At 36.1% G+C, this 21963-nt stretch overlaps 1 long non-coding RNA gene across 1 annotated transcript in view; it reads right to left on the bottom strand.

The window, feature by feature from the left end:
• The window catches only part of LOC100505498 (uncharacterized), a 257710-nt gene that overhangs the window by 86744 nt on the left and 149003 nt on the right, over window positions 1–21963 (bottom strand). Inside the window, exon 4 of the long non-coding RNA XR_923410.3 lies at window positions 5236–5369. This is a non-coding gene — a long non-coding RNA (uncharacterized LOC100505498). The remainder of the gene's footprint in view (window positions 1–5235; window positions 5370–21963) is intronic.

The raw sequence follows: 21963 nt of genomic DNA, 5'->3' as shown, positions 1-21963 counted from the left end.
GAAATCTCATAAAGGTAAGATGATACCTAAACAAGAAGCACTTTTAAATGTGAATGCAGTTGTTCTTGGATAGGAAAATATTACTTTGCCTTCCCGTACTAAAAAGATGGGAAAACAGAGTAGGATCTATACCTATTATTCCTGATCAAGGGCTAGAGTGTATTCAGGGATGTTTTTTTCAGAATTCTGTCTTTATCCCTCTTAATTCCACCAGCATAAATCCTCCCTGTTACCCTCCTGCCAAGCATAGTTCCATAGGTAATCATGGCCAGATCTATGCTTCATCCTTTTCCAAAAAGGCCTATGGCTCTATTTTATACTGTATTGGTGGTGCTCCGATAGTAATGTTTATTACTTTCCTTCTCTTCCTCTTTCTCCTATTTGAATTCTATTCCTCTCCAAAGATCTGGTTGCAAATCTACCTCTTCAACAGAACTGCAGTTGCTCCTTGACTTACAATAGGGCTATGTCCCAAAAAACCCATAATAAATTGAAAATAGCATAAGTTTAAAATGCATTTAATACAGCTAGTCTACCTAACATCATAGCCTACCCTATTTTAAATGTGCTCAGAACATGAGCATTAGCCTACAGTTGGCCAAAATAATATAACACGAAGCCTATTTTATAATAAAGTATTGAATATCTTATGAAATATATTGAATACTGTACCGAATTATGATTTCTACTAGATGTATATGGCTTTTGCACCATCATAAAGTTGAAAAATGGTGTGTCAAATCATCATAAATTAGGGATCATCTGCATTTCAATGCACATGATTTAATGTTAGGGATCACCTGTATTTCACTGCACATGATTCAATGTTAAGTTCTAATAAAACGTATTGCCTATATCATATCACATAAACTGATTTTACATGTGTGTATTGTATATAGAGAGATGTACATATACATATATACATATATATACACACATATTTATGTACATACATATATGTACACACATATATATATCATATATTTTATATATATATATATAGAGAGAGAGAGAGAGAGAGAGGCAGAGAGTTTATTTTTTTCTTCTTTTTCCCTAGTAAACTGTAAACCTTTTGTGGAGAGGGATTGTGTCATGATTTGTTTTCCTCTCCAGCTATGCTCCTTATATGGTTGATAGATAGTTGTATACACTTAAAGGGTTTCTTTTTCGTTTGATGGGTTTTAAGGCATTTATTTATAAGAAAAAGGGCTGAGCACCAATGGAACAGAATAGAGAAACCAGAAATAAATCCATACAACTACAACAAACTCATTTTCAACAAATACGCCAAGAAATACATTGGGGAAGGACAGTCTCTTCAATGAATGATACTGGGAAAAGTGGATATCCATATGCAGAAGAATGAAACTAAGACCCCTATTTTCCCATCTACATAAATCAAATCAAGATGGATTAAAAGACTTAATCTGAAATCATAAACTAGGAAACTATGAAAAGAAAACACTGGAGAAACTCTCTAGGACATTGGATTGGGAAAAAATTTCTTAAGTAATACTTCACAAGCACAGGCAACCAAAGCAAAAATAGACAAATGGGATCACATCAAGTTAAAAATCTTATGCACAGCAATGGAAACAATCAACAAAAAGAGACAATCCATAGAATGGGAGAAAATGTCTGCAAACTATCCGTCTGACCAGGGATTAATAATCAGAATATATAGGGAGCTCAAACAACTCAATAGGAAAAAATTATAATAATCCTATTTAAATATGGGCAAAAGATTTGAAAAGAGAGTTTTCAGAAGAAGACATACAAATGGCAAAAAGATACATGAAAAGGTGCTCAACCTCATTGATCATCAGAGAAACGCAAATCAAAACAAGAAGATATCATCTCACTCAAGGTAAAATGGCTTTGATCCAAAAGACAGACAATAATGAATACTGGCAAGGATGTGGAGAAATGGAACTCTCATACACTGTTGGTGGGAATCCAAATTACAACAGCCACCATAGAGAACAGTACAGAAGGTTCTCAAAAAACTAAAAATAAAACTACCACATGATCCAGCAATCCCACTGCTAGATATATACCCCAAAAGAAAGGAAATTAGTGCATCAAAGAGATATCTGCACTCCCATGTTTATTGCAGCACTACTCAAAATAGCCAAGATTTAGAAACAACCTAAGTGTCCATCAACAGGCAAATGGATAAAGAAAATACAGGCCGGGCGCGGTGACTCATGCCTGTAATACCAGCACCTTGGGAGGCCAAGGCGGGTGGATCACAAGGTCAGGAGATCGAGACCATCCTGGCTAACACGATGAAGCCCTGTCTCCACTAAAAAAAAAAAAAAAAAAATTAGCTGGGCGTAGTGGCGTGTGCCTGTAATCCCACCTACCCACCTACTTGGGAGACTGAGGCAGGAGAATGGCGTGAACCTGGGAGGCAGAGCTTGCAGTGAGCCGAGATTGTGCCACTGCACTCCAGCCTGGACGACAGAGTGAGACTCCTTCTCAAAAAAAAAAAAAAAAAAAAAAAAAAATACAGTACATATACACGATAGAGTACTATTCAGCCAAAAAAAAAAAAAGGAATGAGATTCTATTATTTGTAACAACATGGATAAAAGTAGAAGACATGATAAGTGAAATAAGCCAGGCACAGAAAACAAACTTCGCATGTTCTTAACTTGTAGGAGCTAGAAATTAAAACAATTGAACTCTTGGACATAGAGAGTAGAATTATGGTTAGCAGAGGCTGGGAAAGATAGTCGGAGACGGGGGGTGAGGAGAATGGGTACAGTCAATGGGTACAAAAAAAACCACTTAGAATAAATAAGATCTAATATTTGATAGCAAAACAGGGAGACTACAATCAACAATAACTTATTGTACATATAAAAATAACTAAAAGAGTATAACTGGAATATTTGTAACACAGAAAATGATAAATGCTCGAGGTGATAAATACCCCATTTATCCTGATGTAATTGTTATGCATTGCATGCCTGTATGAAAATATCTCATATACCCCAGAAATATATACATCTACTATATACCCATAAAAATTACAATTTTTTTTTTTTTTTTTTTTTGAGACGGAGTCTCACTCTGTCACCCAGGCTGTAGTGCAGTGGCGCGATCTCCGCTTACTGCAAGCTCCTCCTCCCGGGTTCACGCCATTCTCCTGCCTCAGTCTCTGAGTAGCTGAGACTACAGGCGCCCGCCACCACACCCGGCTAATTTTTTGTAAAAAATTTAAAAAAAAAATTAAAGATAAAATGGGTTCGGCAGTATGATACTCTTTATCCCTAATTATTTGCAATGTACAATATAGAATATGTTCTTCCCATATTCCAAGTTGTACTTTAAGTCCTATTAAAAGCACTATTCCATGAGTCCTAAATTCCACCAGGCCTAACTTCTATCCGTATGTGCTGCAATTACCGTGGTACTTAGCCATTAACACTCCTGTTCCTTGAGGATATAACAGTCATTGTCCAACGTGTTGATTTAAAAGGCAACAACCTGGATCAGATTTCACTATGGCACATCAGAATACCAGACACATGGCGACATCATACAAAATTCAACCCTACTCATTAGCCAATAGGCACTTAAATTTCCTTTAACTTGAGATCATATTTGTGGCAGTTTTGAAGGGTTCAATGAATGCATGTGACCATTAGCAAAGAGGAAAGCACATGAAACAGAAACAAAAAAAATTAGCAAATGTATGGGTAGTACAAGGTTGCAGAATTACGGCCTTCATTTTCTTCTTCTGTTTGTTTTCCTTCTTTTTTTTCTCCTCTCTTCTTCCTCTTTTCTAAAAATCAAGCTTAGGAAAAACTTTTAACAATATATAACATCGTCTTTCTACTCTCTATTAACAAATGCCTTTGAAAAACAATATATATATTCTGCTCAAAGATTGGATTTAAATAAAAATGGTAGCAATATGTTTGTGCATTACTTTGAATGAAACCTGAATATATCAGTTTAAAATATAACAAAAATCATTATCACTCAATATTTTTATTTTATTATAAAATAATAAAATGTAATGATCAAATATCAGCATCATATGTTTACAGAAAGGGAAATAGCATTCTTTTTTTCTCAGTCAACAATCTCATTTCCAGTAGTGAAACTTGCCCACACTGGAGATACAGATATGATCTTTTGAACATTTCTATTCACATTTTACATCAAAAAATATATTGAAAGATCTGCAGTTTTATTTAAAAACCAAAAAGATATAATTAAAATACATTATGTATTATTTTATTCCAACATTTTTAAAATTTATCTCATTATTTATTAAATAAGTACGTATATACATATATTAAATAATTGTGTGTGTATATATATATATACACACATACATATATCTTCACTATGCTCATCATTTTACATAAGTGAAACCATGACCCAATAAATGATATGTTATGTTACTGAAGTGAAGCAAATATTTGAATTAACTTGCTTGGTTTAGGTTTCTGCTCTTTTGCTTTCATTAGTGTTTCATTTTATGTTATAATCATTGCACCAGAGGAATTTTTTTAAGAGGTTAAAGATGGAAGGAGAAAAGTATCTTCTTTTTGCAGTAAGTTTATACAGTGATTCCATCACCTCTACAGTAATTCATCAAATATGTTCATTTTCAGGTAAAAGCAAATTATTTGAATATAAAAATCATGGTACGGAGGTTTAATTTCTTGCATTCATTAATTGTGCATTATTTTTAAGGCAAGTAATAGTGTTTTGTCAATTATTTGGCGGGAAACATGCATTTGTAATATATTTATAAATGTCTTCATGATAATATTTGCAGCATAATCATTCTTTGCTTTCTATTTCTAAAACAAACATCACTTGAGTTCCTTCTGGATTAGATATCATAAATACCTCACAGCCTTCTCTGAACAGTGTATGAACTCTCCAAAAGAGGCAGAGTTTTATTTGGTGTACTTAGAATGAGTAGGGGGTGAAAGAACTTACTTTGAGTTATTCCATGTGGCACAGATGATTTACACAGTTGAGTAATCTTTAGAACCATGAGTGGAAAGGTAACTTGGCTTTGGATTATAGAAGAAATCCATTGCCAAACTAAATTCTTGTTACTTCATTGGTAATTAAATTAATTTCCACTTTTTAGTGGACGTGTAAGTGTACTAACTATAATGCTAAACAGATTCAGCACACAAGTGTAGAATGGGAAAGGGAGATCAGAAAAAAGGGTGTATGAGAGTCTTTGTGGTAACATACCCTTGAGAAACCCCAAGTGAGGGACACGTTAATTGACTTCTACCATGATCGGTCCAGAAACACAGCTCATCAGCAGAAGGCTTGTCATCAAGACATATACTTAGCAAAAGGCAGGAGGAGAACCTGAGGTTTACCTGGAATCCAGAAAAGGAAATGGTAATCAATACTCACAGTGATGGACACATTACAGCACTCATTGCTCTGGTATGACCCCTCATCTTCGCTGGTTCCTTCACTGACACAGCACAAAGCCTGAGTATTCAGCTACCCGAAGGTGAGGTCATCTAGAATGAATGTTCCCCAACACCAGTACTTACACCACTTTAGCCTAACTTCAAAACAGTTGTTTCGGGGGAAGGAAGATTAGGTACATTAAACGAAGATTTAATGTGCCCTACTATGAATATTTATTAGGATATACTTATGACCAAAAGAGATACAAAATATGTCCTTATGAATGTACATTTCTTTAATATTTAAAGAAACCATAAAAAAATAGAGAGCCCAGGCTGGGTGCGGTGGCTCACACCTGTAATCACAGCACTTTGGCAGGAGGATTGCTTGAGCCCAGGGGTTTCAGACCAGCCTGGGCAACATGGCAAAACCCCGTCTTTACAACAATTTAAAAAAAGAAGAAGAAGAAAAATTAGCCAGCCATGGTGGCACATGCCTGTAATCCCAGCTACTCAGGAGGCTGAGATGGGAGGATCGCTTGAGCCCAGGAAGGGGAGGCTGCAGTGAGATGAGGTCACGCCACTGCACTCCACCCTGGGCAACAGAGCAAGACACTGTCTCACAAAAAAAAAAAAAAAAAAAAAAAAAAAAAAAGAAGAAGGAGAGCCCGTGATTAGGGCTTAGGTTCAGATTTTCAGTTTCTACCTAATGACTAGCCTTCAACATTGAGGAAGGTCATTTGCAGAGCCTAGATTGTGTTCCTGAATAGCAGTGGGTTTGGTGGGACAGTTTATTTTGATGTAATCAGAATTGCAACAAATCAACTGAGAAAACTTTAATACCACAAGTAGTGTTTAATCATAATTTAAGAGACTGTACTTGAAATATACTTTACTCCAGATACATGCTCAAGTTCTTAATTATAAAGAGAGGAAGTAGACAGTGATGGTGTAAGCCCTATTACATGTCACCTGACTCAAGGCTATATGAAAGAAAACAATGTTTACAATCTTCTCAGCATAGCTCAAATAATTCTATCCTCAGTATTAAATAATTAGGATTCCAACTAGATGACCAGCTCATTTTTGAACTATAAAATAAATTGCCTATTCAGGTAATTTAGAAAAAATCTTTTGTAATATTCAGGATAATTTTAACCCATCTCTCTCCACACCATTCCCTACTCAATGATGCTTTTAATACCTTCTAACGCGGTCCTTTCAAGAAATTTGTTTTTTTTTTATTTTTATTTATTTATTTACATTTATTTATTTATTTTTTGAGATGGAATCTCTCTCTGTAGCCTAGGCTGGAGTGCAGTGGCATGATCTCGGCTCACTTCAACCTCCACCTCCCTGGTTCAAGCCATTCTCCTGCCTCAGCCTCCCAAGTAGCTGGGACTACAGGCACCAGCCACCACACCTGGCTAACTTTTGTATTTTTAGTAGAGATGGGGTTTCACCATGTTAGCCAGGATGGTCTCAATCTCCTGACCTCGTGATCCACCTGCCTCAGCCTCTCAAAGTGCTGGGATTACAGGCGTGAGCCACCATGACCAGCGAAGATTTCTGTTTTTAAAAGAAAATATCATCATCTTTCTAAATATTTACAAAACATGTAAGAGGAAAAATAATTTTCTTCATAGATTGACTGCTCTTTGTTTTCATTTTACTTTTAATGTGTTCTTTTTCTATGTATCCAACTACATAATAAATGTTCATCAGTTCTCAGGATACAGAAACAAAACAACAACAAAAACCCTATACATCATCTATTTAATCACCTATCCACCTCCAACACTGTATATGTCCTTTGGTCCATTAGTATTACCAACATTTCTAGTGAGGATAATTTCATTCATTTCTTCCCAATGTTGTCCATTATGCTCTAGATATCTCTGATTCTTATCACAGCTGTTGTAGATTCTGAGTATGTACTCCAACAAGCACTAAGCTATGTATTTTTCGTGCATTTTTCTAATCCTGATATCAAAACTATAGAGATCTTCCTCATATTATTAAAATGAAAATAGAGGTGAAGAAGAGGAAAATAAACTTATTCAAACTCATAGAGTAGCTTTATAAGCCAGAGTTCCATGTTAGATCTGTCTGACATCCATGCCTATATTATTTTTCTAGTTTATCCCTCCAAGGATTCTACAATGTGGTTCTCTTTCTTCTTGATCATGCAGAGTAACTCTAACCCCCCCTTTTTTTTTTTTTGCCAAGTCTGTTATTCAAGGCACCATGTCCTTCTCAAGACTTTTCTAAAGGTAAGCCTTCTCAGTTCCCTCAACTGTTCCTTACGTGCTGTGCTATAGTGCACACTGTCTTTAACTGTCACTATTCCTTGCAAATGGGTCCATGTGGAGCCCATAGGGCTGACTGCACCCTTCAAGTGTTGTGTGTAAAGCATCAGGCAGAGTGGCACCATTATCTCCCTTATTCTTGCACAACACTTCTATTAATGCAGCCTCGGGGCCCATCAGCCTTTTTTGGCAGCCACATTACTGTTAACTCCCACTGAGTTGATTGTCAACTAAATGCCTAAGACACTTTCACACATGCTGTTGCTAAGTCATATCCCCCCCAGTTCTTTGTGCATTTTGGTTTTGAATTCAGGTGTAGGATCTTACATTATTCCCATCACATGTATTTATATTAGAGCTAGCCTGGTCATCCTGGTGGTTTATCATTTCTCAGTACCTTTTAGTATCTGTAGTTGGGGGGCTGAAGGCAGCAGGGATTGTGATTCTATCATTTTATATATCCACTCTCCCTCTAATTTGAAGCTTTTTTATTTTTTTCAAAATCTAGCCACATAACTTTCCATGTATATTTCATTTATTGGTAAATCTCTTCCCTGAGTAAGACTTGAAGCAGACCATCGGAAACCTCTGTGCAGGATGAAGAAGAAACTAGCCTCAAGGATTATGGAGCTCTGAGGCTGCAGCCCAAGCTGTGCCTCTCAGTATACTGCACTTAGGAAATCCTCAACAACTATGTGAATCTTGTTGTTTCGTACAGAGGATTAGAATAATTATGGAGACTTTAAGAGTTGATGCTCAGGTAAGCAAAAATTTATGAGTAGCTTAAAGCAATCAAACTGTTGCTAGGCTGTTCACTCAGACCAAATCGTCCACATATATTAAATCTCAAGGAAAATAAAAGGCTATGAAACCATAAGAGCATAAGCAGGGATATACACTGTATAATAATTTTGTCACCAAAAGAATCACTACCTGCTTAAAATTATGTAAATATTATGTCTGGAAGCACTACAAAGTTTTTATCTGAGGTCAGAGATGAAAAACATATTTGAAGAGAAACAACACTTTCTGCCTCTCTTTATCCTTTGGTCTCACTGTCTTCTTTTTCTCAAATCTTAGACAAATACTAAGTGACCTAAAAAAAAAGGAAGAAAGGCAAGAATGTTCCATGCCAGATAGTTTTTATCTTTTTCCTCTAACAGCATCCAAGAAACTAAAAAGGGAAAAGTGGAGAGAGGAGGCAGATAATCAGAGTTGATTGTGAATCTGGGAAAAGTCTCAACTATGCATTGAGATTCACAAAAATGAAAGATGAAAGATCACAAGAGAGGAAATGAATAACCATTTTGCCCACTGCCAGTGTTCTGCTCCCCATTCTTCCAGCTGCGGCCGATGCTTCAGCTTCACCCTTCAGACTTGAGTTAGAGGCGCATGCAAACATCTCAGCTGCGGCACTTTCTGGTACTGTAGTTTGCCTTTCTTTAGAATGCCCTAAAGATAGCATTCTTAGTAAACATACTGTTAGGCTGAGGAAATTTCATCGGGGGGATATAAGCATCCTCTCTGGTAGGAAAGGCTCTTCCACCTGCAGGGTAGAAACTACTGGAAAAATAAAAAAGTTTTTTTGTTCTTGTTGTTGTCTTTTTTGGTGGCATCAGCAGCCAAAGTGCCTGATTCAGCTCTTGAAATGCTTTTTTTTTCATCTCTGCAGAGGACAGGGTGAAGTTGTCCGGTGCCTACCATCTTCCCAGTGTATCCTCTGTGCCCAGCACAGTGCACAGCACATGCAAGGTACTCAATGAATATTTTTGACTGAGTTTGTTGACCATAGATGAACTGTGTCTGAGCCATCTAGGACAAATAATCCTTTTGGTTTAAATAAGTGTGAGCAAACACTCAACGTGCAAACATTTGGGTCTTACTGGGCAGTGGACACTGCCAGGTAAGGAATTTTGTCTGCTCATGTAGTATTCTATTGTTGTTTTCACTGTGTTTTTCATGTATTTGATTGAATGGCTCAGGTCTTTCAATTGTGATAGAACATGCCATATCTGAGTGTACAGCAGTTCAACATTCCCTTGAACTCCCATGGTTTCTCATTCAGTTAATTTGGTATGGGACCTGAACATTTCTATTTTTAACAAGCTCTCAGGTGCTTCTAATACTGCTGGTCCAGAGACTACATTTTGAAAACTGATGCACTAATCCAACTCCCTTAAATGATAAATGAGAAAACTAGATTGGAACCTAGAGAGAAATGGGTTGCAATGTAGGCATTCTATTTGCTAGAGCAATACCCATAGCCTCCTTCAAGCCAAGGCTTATTTCTCTTCTTTCATGAAGCTTCTCCAAGCAAAGGCAGCATGAGGAAGAACAAAGGAAGAGAACTTAGTAAAGCAAAGGCAGCACCAGTAAATGAGGATAGATCTGATGTAAAATTTGTGGATTAAATAAAAAGATTTACTTGTTTTAAAGATCTCCAGGGGGAAGTGAGAGGTTCTATAATCTCCCTTGCTAACTTCTTCCACATCTAAAAACATTATTCAGGACATTCCTGCTACAAACTTAAGCCCATTTTCCATTGCTAATGAGGCATTCTATATTATACTACTAAGGAGCTGATGTTGGAAAATAAATGTGTCTATGAAGTAACCACATTTTAAAAAACAAAATTGAAATAAAAATAATTAAATGCAGCCAGCTGCTTTAAGCAACCATTTCATCACATGGCAAGAAAAGTATTCAAAAGCTATCCAAAATCTGTTCTCCTCTGTTACTTCTTGCCTTATTGCCTCACCACAATGAGCCATATCAGTTTATTGAATCCATTGTCTCAGTGCATTTTCTTGTCCTATGGCCAGTCCAGAGCCCTTTCAATGAATGGAACTGTCTTCATTTCTTTCTCTGTACTTACCTGGTTTTATGCAGTTAATCAAATTGTTTTTAAAAATTAAAACAAATACAGCCTATACTGAGCCACAAACAAAGGTAAAGTTTTGTTCTCAATAGTCTTGTTAAGATTCAATGTCAGAAAGGGGAATAAGTAAGTCATGTATTTATGGAATGAAGAGCTGTACTATTTCTTAAGAATTAAATATATCACTATTTTTTTCTTCAACCTTTGAAATCATTAGTACATGATCCACACTACTCACAGATATTCATCCTTAGAAAGAGGAGGTGGAGGGGGGCAAAAGGAACACATGCATCTTTCTGTTTATGAGAAGAAAGCTTGACTGTGCAAATCCAGACAACCAGCAGTACACTGCATCATGTATACTAGGGGATTAACCCATTACAGAAGTCACAGAATTATAAATTAGAGAGGCTCATGACTTATTGCACCAAATGCCCTGATTTTGTGTGTGTGTTTCTTGTTTAACTTCTCTTTTCTCTGTTTTTTGGTCAAATGATTCTAACTAGTTAATAGTTGTTTTTATACTTTATGAAGTGTGTTAAGCCAGATATAAGTTAAAAAAAAAAAAGCATCATCCTACACCCCAAAGCAGCAGTCTGCTCACATGGTAAAGCAAGAATATATCCAGGTGTACTGAATTTATTCCCCATAAATTTTAGTATGTAAGAAAACTCATGCTAGAATAAATAATAAAGAAAAGGTTTTAGTAAAATGCTCATACTCACACATGTTTATAGTTGAAAAACCAACCAATGCTAAGGCGAAATATATTTTCTCACTACAAAGCACTTTACCTAGTCTGGGAATTTTTCTGGAAGTTGTTAAAAAACTGAACTTTGCTATGTCTCAATATTATTATTCTCTACATGACTCATTATATGTGCTAGATATATCCCTAAGAAAATAAATTAGAATAGTAAGAATTTTGGTAATACAAATGTAATTCATATATTCTGAGCCAATATTTTTCAAACTATTTCTAAACAGAATTTGAAAAAAAAATGCAACATTACCCAGGACAAAAACACACACATATATAGCTAAAACAAAATTCCACAAAATAATTTAACTGTATGATATCAGACACATTCGGACATTTTCTGTTCTATTCTGTTTTGTCCCTTAAAAAGTGTTGGTTGAATTCTATTAAATTAATTTCAGCATTCACTAAATTTCACAAAAATGTTATCATTTGAAAAACACTGCATTAAGAGAACTTGCAGTTTTTAAGAAATTCTATAGTCATAATCAAATAGTCCTTTAGTATGTTAATTGCCATCTGATTTGTTTCTGTGCCAATTTAAGGTTTTGACATAATGGATCTTTTGAAGCTACGCTTACCTCTATTTGAGTAATGACAATCTGAAGACGACTATACAATATATGTTATACATTTGAACAGCATAATAGTATATAATGTGAAGATTGCTTAAGATGTAATTTTTAATGAATGCTTTGCAGTTGCTATCTCAATTTGATGAGCAAAGTGTGTAGCCTATGGGTGTCCCCAGTCCTGCTACCTTTGCGTTTCAGTCTCCTTAGGCTGATCCATACTTGACTTTCTATACATTAGATCATTTTTAGGAGAACATCTTAAAAAGCATCTCTAGCAATATTTAATTCATATGATTAAAAATTCAAAGGAAGCCCTTGTACTGGCTGTTAAACTATGTTCACAAGCTATTATTCAGAGTTCAAACCCCAGCAAATTGAAGGTTAGGTTAAAACAGGATCACTCTGTGGAACTGCACTAAACCATGACAGCTAGAGCAGTGGGTGAACTGTTTCATGCACACTCAGTTGCAGAAGATAAACTAAAGATGAGCAAAGGTATCTCACTGGAAATCTTCCTATCTAATTTGATTTTTCTAACCTATTTTCTACAGTATGGTTTAAAAAGGAAAGCATATGAAGCTAACTCTCGGTTTTGTTTACTACATATACGGATTTTTTAAAGAGACAAGAAAACCCACAGAGAGTGTTACATTGACTCTTGGAAATTGAGACATGGATTTCTCTTTTCAGATGTTAGCTTTCTCAAATAAATCTGAAGTTTCAGAGGCAAATATTTTTGCTTCTCCAAATTGTAATGTGCTAACATGCCCATGTGGGGAAGCATCAATAAGCCCTTAATAATAATTGATACCCCTACACTTCTGTGGGCATAGTAGTAGTAAGAAGTCAAGTCGCATCAGTTCCCTAATTTCTAAAAATAAAATAACCTAACTCATAAGATAGAATGCATGAGAATGGAGAGTTGCTCATCTTGGCTCAGTCACTTTCTTTTATTATTATTATTATTATTATTATTATTATTATTATACTTCAAGTTTTAAGGTACATGTGCACAATGTGCAGGTTGGGAGAAAATTTTTGCAATCTACTCATCTGGCTCGGTCACTTTCTAGTGGTATGCCTTTAGGAAAGCCCTTTAAACTCTTTGGATCTCACTTTCTCACCTCTAACATGAGAGAAATGGCAAGACAACCTCTTCTGTAGATAATCGGTCTCCTTCCATGAGATTTTATGCTTCTAACTTTGTGCATAAAGTGGTTGTGGGGCTATATCTTCTTGCTATGCTTGTTAGGCTGGCAGAAGACTGGGGAAAAAAGAAGTGAAGAAACAAAATGTATTTTTCTTAAGTGAACTTGAAATTCCCCCTCCTGAATAATTACTTAATTGCATCGAAAAAGGAAAATGAGACTGGGAAAGAAGAAAGGAAATGACACAAGTTGGTAATCTGGACTTGAAGTATACAACATAAAATTAGTTGATAGAAGTGTAAGCAGATGCGTCTTCCTCCTAATCCAGCTGATATGCATGAAGAAAGGAGTGAAAGAAACATTTAAGAACATCATTGTTAGTTACAAGAGAATGGGAAAGGCATCACACAAAAAAAGCCAATATTTGGTTTTAAAAAAGGGCACAGGAATAAAATGTTCTTGGGAAGTTCAAATCAAAGTTTTGAATGAATTTTAAATAAGCATCTAAACCAGCAATAAAATATTCCAAAGATTACTTTCAGACAGCAAACATCATGAGATGCTACTTTGAACAGCACTTTGAAAATGTTGGTATATTGAACTCTAAAGTTGTTATAGTCCATACATCTTTGGCATAAATTAGTAAGTATAATTCACTAATTGGTTTTTTGCATATGAATGTTCAATTCCCATGATCTCATTTATCTTTAACAAAGGCTCCTCTACAGCTATGAAGATATTCCGTGTGGGGTGGCCTACAAGCAAGGTAAGTTAGAAATGTGATAAAGTGTCTTAGATAAAGGTATATTTTCTTTAAATAGTATTTATTCTTTACTCGTTAGATTCAGAGACTTTGTGCATTTTCAATTTTTCTCACATCCACATGATACATATCCACATAGTATATACTATTAATAATTTATCTTATCAAGGTGGCTGATCAATAGGTGATATGGAGTCAGAAAAAACCTAGGCTCCAACTCCAGAACAGTTCATTTTCTGTGTGAATTTTGGCAAATTACCAAATTCTCTGGCCTCTAATTTTCAAATCATTAAAGCAGATATGATGCTCACTCAGTATTACTGTAAATTTGAATGAAATAATACATACAATACTTGCCATATTGGAGTTACTCAATATGTTATTAGATTTTTTTTGAATATGGATCTAACTTTAGTAATTTTCCAGAAATAAAAGGTGTCTTTCAAAGTGTAGACTAAATAACAATTCTTTATTTCATACCACACTCCATTTCTCAATGGAGAGAACCTTCAAAGAATATGGAAATTGTATACAAAACCCTTCAAATAATAAGGAATCCTGGGCACTGTGGATTCAGAGGGCTATTTCTGCCAACAGAGTAAGAGCAAATTTCAAGAGAAAGAGGAAAGAACATTAATTATCTTGTTCTTTATGTATTGAGCATCTACAAGTGCTGATCACTCCTTCAGTAAACATATGAGCAGAACATACAATGACACCAGCCCTCATGGAGCTATACCCTAGTGGGTTCGGGAAGAGATAAACATGAAATAAAATTACTAATATTATATTGTATTACTGGGAAGTAAGAGATATGGAAAAAGAAATAGTAGAGTCATTGTGACCAGGATGTGACAGAGAAAGATGAATTTTAAGCAAGGACTTAAGATGGTAAGTAAAATGTGTGGATGTGTAATGTTCCTGGGAGAGGAAATAGGCAGAAGAAAGGCATTAGGTTGGGAGTGTGAAGCCACATCTGTTGAATGACAAAGAACTCGGTATGACTAAAATGACATAATCAAGAAGGAAATAAGTAAAGAAGTGAGGTCCTAGGCAATAGGTGAGATTGTGGGTGGCTTTCTAGACATTATGAGAACTTGGCTTTTACTCTGGATGAAATAGCAGGGCAGGGTGGGGCCTACAGTGTTTTGAAGAGGAGTAGTATGCTACAACTTACTCAAATAAAATTAAGCTGGCTGCTGCTTATGAAGTGATGTGGTTTGGCTGTGACCCCACCCAAATCTGATTTTGAATTGTAGTTCCCATAATCCCTGTGTATCATGGGAGGGACCTGGTGGGAAGTAATTTAATCATGGGGGCAGTTACCATTGTTCTATCCTCATGATAGTAAGCTCTCACGAGATATGATGGTTTTATAGGGGGCTTTTCTCTGTTTGGCTCATTCTTCTTCCTGCCACCATGTGAAGAAGGACTTGTTTGTTTCCACTTCTGTCATGATTGTAAATTTCCTGAGGCCTCCCTGGCCATGCTGAACTGTAAGTCAATTAAACCTCTTTATTTTATAAATTATCCAGTCTCGGGTATGTCTTTATTAGCAGCATGAGAATGAACTAATACAGGAAGAGACTTTTCATGTTCTCAAGTGGAAGCCATGAGACATATTTGGAGGTTATTGCAGTAATCCAGGAAGTACACCAGGATGGTAACAATAGAGATAGTGGACATATTTTGAAATCTGAAATAACAGATCTGATGAGGAAATGGATGTGAGGTTTGAGAGATAGAGAATAATGAAGGAGAACAGACAATCTGGTGCTTGAGCAATTGGAAAGATGGAGTTGCGAGGAACTGAGCTGGGGAAGACTATGGGGAAATAGATAACTTTTAGAAGGAAATATAAATAATTGATTTATGTACATGTCAACTGCAAAAGATACTCATTAGATATCCAAGTAGATACATATAAATGCAGACTGAAGTCCATTGACAAGAGCTTACCTGGAAACCTCAATTTGGGTTCTTCAAACTAAATTTTGGGTACAATGGTGAATTGCTAGTATTAAAGCCACGGAACGTGGAACTTAGATAAGTTTACCTAACTATCTACGTAAGGGTAGATAGGAAGGGAAGAATCCAAGGGCAGAGACATGGGAATATTCAATACTAAGAGATCAGCTATATGTGCTCTGTCTCGGGCACTTGGTAGTCAACTGTTCCAGGTCCACCAGCTGTATTTAGAACTCTATGCCTTGATTTACCTACCCCTCCTGTACTGAACACTATCACCGCCTATTGGAAACCTTTCTCTCTTCCAAGATTCACCTATCCATCCCACCTCCTCAAAGAATATGTCTTTAATCACGCTCATCCTCTGATCACAGAGAGCAAGGCATGATTTGCTCTGCATTATGTATGTGTTTCTAGCTGCCCCCTTTAGCAGATTGCAAAGACTTTAATGGTAGCCATGTTAGCATTCCTATCACCACCATTATAAAAATGACATATAACTAGTGCTTAATACATGCCAGGCACTTAAGTGCTTTTCATGTATAATCTCATTAAATCCCTTAAGTCCCCTACTCATATTTTCTAGATGAGGAAATTGAGACTTGTGAAACTGAGGTAACCTGCTTGAGGCCTCCTAGCTAGAAAGTGGCAGAGCTGATTTTCAGAATCAGCCCTCCACTACTCCAAAGACCTTCACCATTGGCCTGGGTCACCTTCATGTTATTTATTTTATAGTCATCTAATAAAAGGTAAATAGTATATAAAACTTGTTGGTTAAATAAATTATTGCTTGAATAATGGCTCTGCTTTCTTTTAGGCAGCCACAATAAAACCTTGACTAACAAAAATTAATATAACACAACCTTCAACTGATTATATTTCTTTTCATTTTTTACTATAATTTATTTGTAATGGAATGCAGCAAATCCCAGGAAACAAGTTTGACTTTACATTTTCTGTCGAAATTGAACAAAGTGCTAAAATATTTCTCTGAGGTTAGTGCATCATCTTTGGCCATCTATATGGGTGATATTCTTCCTTGAGAAATTATGGTTACAATGAGGACCAAAGGATCATTTGACCTTGAACTTGCAGAGAAGGATATATTTTATATTCCCCAGACAATTCACTTGAGAACATTTAAAAAAATAATATTTTGAATAATTTTAGCAACATGAATCAAAGCACACATTTCGTTGAATCTTTAGAAACTCTAAATCCTAGAATATCTTATTTCTCAAACACAGCAAATGCCATAAAGTGCCCTACCCTTAATCTGCAGAGTTGGTTCTGTGATCTGACTGGTGTCCACCTGCCATCATTTGCATCTATGTGCCTGGGGTTTTCATTTCTGGACCAAAGAAAGCTACTCTGTGCACACATGTCAGCTCAGAAATACCAAACATGAACACACCATCACCACTGCCACTCTCTTCCCCCACCCCTATCCAATAAGTCTTCATACAGTGAGTCTCAGGAGGTGGTATGTAAATATCTCAACTTTCTCACCTCTCAGATGGGGTCATTCTGAGGTGTGTGTTTTCTACTATATTCCAGAGGTCCCCTGCAGGATTAAGCTCCAGCCACACACAGTGATAGCTAGCTTAATAAAGCACTCTTTAATGGATGACTTCACTGCCCTGGGCCTCTCCCCTACCACCCTCAACTAGTGTTTCCTGCACCTCCCAAATAAACTGCTTGCCCTCGTGCCCTTATGTCTAGTTCAGCTTCTGGGGAAACCCAAACTAAGACACCAAGCATTTGCATTCACAGGGCTTCAACTACAGTGATAGTTAGATCCTCCTAGGCAGAAAGAGAAAGCGACAGCATGCATTTCTTCTCTTCTGGTGTTCTCTTTAGCCAAATTTGCCATATTTAACTGTTTTTACATGCAATCTTAGTAGACAAATTAAAGAGATTATTTAATAGTTTACACAAGTCCTATAATTCAGAATATGAATGCAACATATGAGTAGCTTATGTGTTGGCTCTGTTCTAGCCCTTGATCTGTAGGAGCAATAAACAATGTGAGTGCATGGGGGAAAATCTCACAGAAATAGCATTGTATCCACACCTGTGAAGAACAAGCATGGTTCGAGGATATTTCTAACTCTGGGGAGTGATAAAAGTATGACACCATAAGATATGCAATGCTATAAAGACATGAGTTAATTTTAAAATACTTTCTATACTATAAACTATTAGACAAATATAGGGCAGTGCTATTATTATAATGATGAATGGCATACACATGATATCATATGAAATAACCTAAAATCTGTTTCTAAAATATGAAAAAAAACTTTTCCTTATAATAAACTCTAATTTCTGAATCACCAAATCTTATTAGGGCTGCTTATACCTATGAAAACTATACCAATATTTAATTGACTTCAAAACTGATTAATAAAAGACTGTCTCCAACATGTATTTTGAACTAAATATTTTAGCATCCGCTTACCATGTCTATCAAAAATGCTTAATAAAACTTTTAGTGTGAGGCTTTATTAGTCCTTGATGTTAAATGTCTAGAATAATCTTCTTCTTAGGGATCCTTTCTAACTGCAAGTTTAAATTTTAAGGGCTTTTAAATTTGCCTTTTTGTTGTTTTGTTGGTTTTTCTTTTACAGCAATAAATGAGTCCACTACATGATTACTCTAAGCAACCTTTGATTTTAAATAAGTTCTCAGAGAAAACTAATAACTCTAAAATTTAGCACTTTCTTAAAAATCAAATCCATTTCTACATGATGTAATTTCTTTTCAAAATTAATTTTAAGGACTAGAAATTCTTCACTGCTAATTGGTACATTGGGTATAATATTTGTTTTTAGATACAGAGTAAACAATTTACTTTAGTATCAAGGAAACATAGTTAAGATTTTATTAGAATTCTAAAAATGAATAATAAGCCCAGCCCTGTGCTTGTTGTAATAGCTAAAATAAACTTGCTGCTCACACCATGGTGACTTAGCTAAGCTCTTCCTTCATTCCATCAAACTGCATGGGGCAGCAGCTGGGCTTCTTTCCGACACCCTTGGCATGTTTACTGCAGCCATGTAACTTAGTCTCAGAGGGCTGGGGCTGTTGCTAGGGCTTGGACCACACCTTCCTCCTGCTTACCTAAAGCCCATTGGTCATGATTTCATAATCAGGCAGTTTTGCACAATGTCAACATAGGGGCATTGACAAAAATATTATCTGTGTTTCTACAGGTGTTATATTTTTTGCTCCCCTAGTGACTACTAATCATTCAACTGGACTAAAATGATATATTTTAAAAAACAATGTCCTGGCATTGCTGAGAACATGCATATAAGGCCATGAAGGTCTACACAGCAAGGATTGCACAATAACCCATTAAAATAAACATTTGCAACCGCAGATAGCTGGACTGAAATCCTGCTCTGATACAAATAACATCTGGACAACTTTTTTTTGCATCTTCCAGCATAAAACACCCTTGAGAAAAAATAGAAGGAAAGCTAAAAGACAAAGGACCACTAAAGGTTTTATTATGTTATGGGTGTGGTGCCATAAATTTGAGGGGGCTCAGGCCAGAGTTGCCAAACCCGAATTTAAACAGCATGTTGTTTTTAAAAGTTGTAACACTGATGAGGAACAATTCAGTTTTCTTACATAATTAATCCAGTGTGAAATAGAGTGACTGGAAAACATCCAGTGGTTTAAAAATAACTCAATTATTTATAAGTTCCACAGTGCTATAGGATTCCACTCTAAGGAGTAGAAAGTGAAACATCTTGGTACCAAGTATGTTGTTCTTATTCAGCAAGGGCCTCAGGAAGTCAACATAAACAATCTCATAGTAAAAGATTATGCTGAGGCCAAAGACACTAAGGTTCCCTTGGATTATGGATCAGGCTAGTGGGCAGGAAAAAGTTTCTTTCCTTGACATTTATATATTGGTGATAAATAAATATTAGTATATCTTACTAATCCCCAAAGAACTGAACAATGTGAAGTGGGGGTATTAGGCTGCAGGGAACAGAGGGAAGAGGGGAGGAGGTCTGGGAAAGAAAGAAAAATGAGCCTCTTTCATAAGATCTATAACATAGGCTATGAATCATACATGACAGTGAATGGACTTTAATTTCTAATGTTGTTCTTTGATGTGAAGCAAAATAATTACAAGCTGAAAGATACTAGCAAGTATTATATTCAATATAAAGATAAAGAAATTAGCCATAAATAAACCCTTCTATAAAATCTCATGCTCAGGGCAGGCTCACAGCTAGCAACATACATTTGTGTCAGCTACAGCTGGCTGCTAAACAAAGGGAATGAAAGTTTGCTTCAGTTAATATTAAAATCTTGCAAAATATTTCACAGTTGTCTCAGGCATTTTTTTGCTCTTTTTTCTACTTAAAGGGGGCATGTGAGAGGTGGCAATAGTCTAAAAGGGCCAAGCCAGAAGTTAGAGCATGGATCTGTAAGGTGCCTTTAAAGGGCTAAGGAGCTTTACTAAGTCATGTGATTTACCTTAAATTCACCCTTTGTTTCAGCTAGAGTGCAGACATAAGTAAAAGAAGGAAGCAGACCTTTATTCATTTGGCCACTCCATCAACTGTGGGCCTAGTACGTTCCAAACTTACTGTATTTGTTTCTTTTATCCTTGGAAACAAACAAATATGAACCACGATTGTATAATTTACTTACTAGGCTAAACAAGCACGATTTTGATGTACTAATACCCATAACAACAAAAGTAGATGTCAGTTATTTAAACAAACTATTAAGTTGAGAACAGAAATTATTTCTTAAAAATGTATTTGTTGCTGATTCATGGATATAAACTGATAGATCAATTTCAGTAATTCCACTATAAGAAGAGATTATTTTCGTTGAGGAGCTGTGACAGTGGAAATATTGAAGGAAGGTAGTGAGAGAATTACAGTTCCAGGTGGTTGTAGTTATAATATCTAACTGCTATTAAGTGAAATTGTTTTAGCTGCAGTCCCGCTACTAAAAACTGGGAGATTACTGCTAAAACAATTTTACAAAGTTTTTGACTAAGGATCAAGTCAATAAATAGGCTCATGACTACCTTGTTCCTGACAGTTCCATTGCTTTGCCACTTTTTTCTTCTGTTTGTAGTATCAAGTCAGTGGCCATTCATTATCCAGCCATCAGTGGCCTCTGCTTCTGTAGTTGACCTTTGGTTTCACTTTCCCTATCCAACCCCAAAAGGCACAAGCATATCAAGGTTTCTTTGATGGCACTGACTGCCCGATGCAGCAAAATCCTTTTAAAAATAAACTAGAACAATTCCCACTGATGAGGTCAGTGCATCACTTACCCATGTGAAAAGAGAAGAGAAAACTGAACACTGTGGGCTCTGAATGACATCCCTATGTGTGAATAAACTATCGATTTGCTCATTCATTTAATTTTTTTCATATACTAATTTACTTAAGGCCTACCTTGTGGCAGTGATGAGTTAATTATTAGGGTGGAGATACAGTGTATTGCTTCTAGGGGTGATAGTTAATGATAAGTGTTATACGAATAGGGGAAGCCATGACTCTTCCTAAGAAAGTTGAAAACGGCTTCAAAGAGAATAAGACATTTGAGGTGGGTCTTGAAAAAGGAACAGGATGCACTTGGTGAGTAAGAAAGAAGTAAAGCATTCCAGGTAGAGAAAAGATCTTTGTGAAGAGGCTTAAAACTGCATGATGCTTGGGGAAATGTCACTGTATGGTGTGACTGGAGGTATGTGACATCAGATACGAATGCAGTGATAAGTTGGGACTAGATTGTAGAAGAAGCCATGCCAAGGAGTTTACTCTTAAGGCAATGGGAAGAATGAAGGATTAATATAGAGTGTGAAATAATCGGCTATAAAAAGATAAGTAAAACTTGCTCATTTGCCTTGAAGACAAGAACAGGCTATTTTCAGTGGGAATTGCTACATTCTGTTGTAGAGTGAATTATAAGGGCCATCTTGGCAGTGAGGAAAAGATGGCAGCTCATGAGGTCCAAGCCAATTGTTTCTGCTTCATCATTCCTTACCATCTACCCCACCTTCTCTTCTGTTCATGATTTACCAGCATAGATCTCCTTATCTACCAAAGAAAAAAGACTTTAATCTCTATCTCTCTCCTCCAACAACAACAAAAAAATAGAAAATCCTTGA

This window comes from Homo sapiens, chromosome 2 (genome assembly GCF_000001405.40).
Source record: "Homo sapiens chromosome 2, GRCh38.p14 Primary Assembly".
NCBI lineage: Eukaryota > Metazoa > Chordata > Mammalia > Primates > Hominidae > Homo > Homo sapiens.
This window is presented reverse-complemented; position numbering and strand designations above follow the sequence as displayed.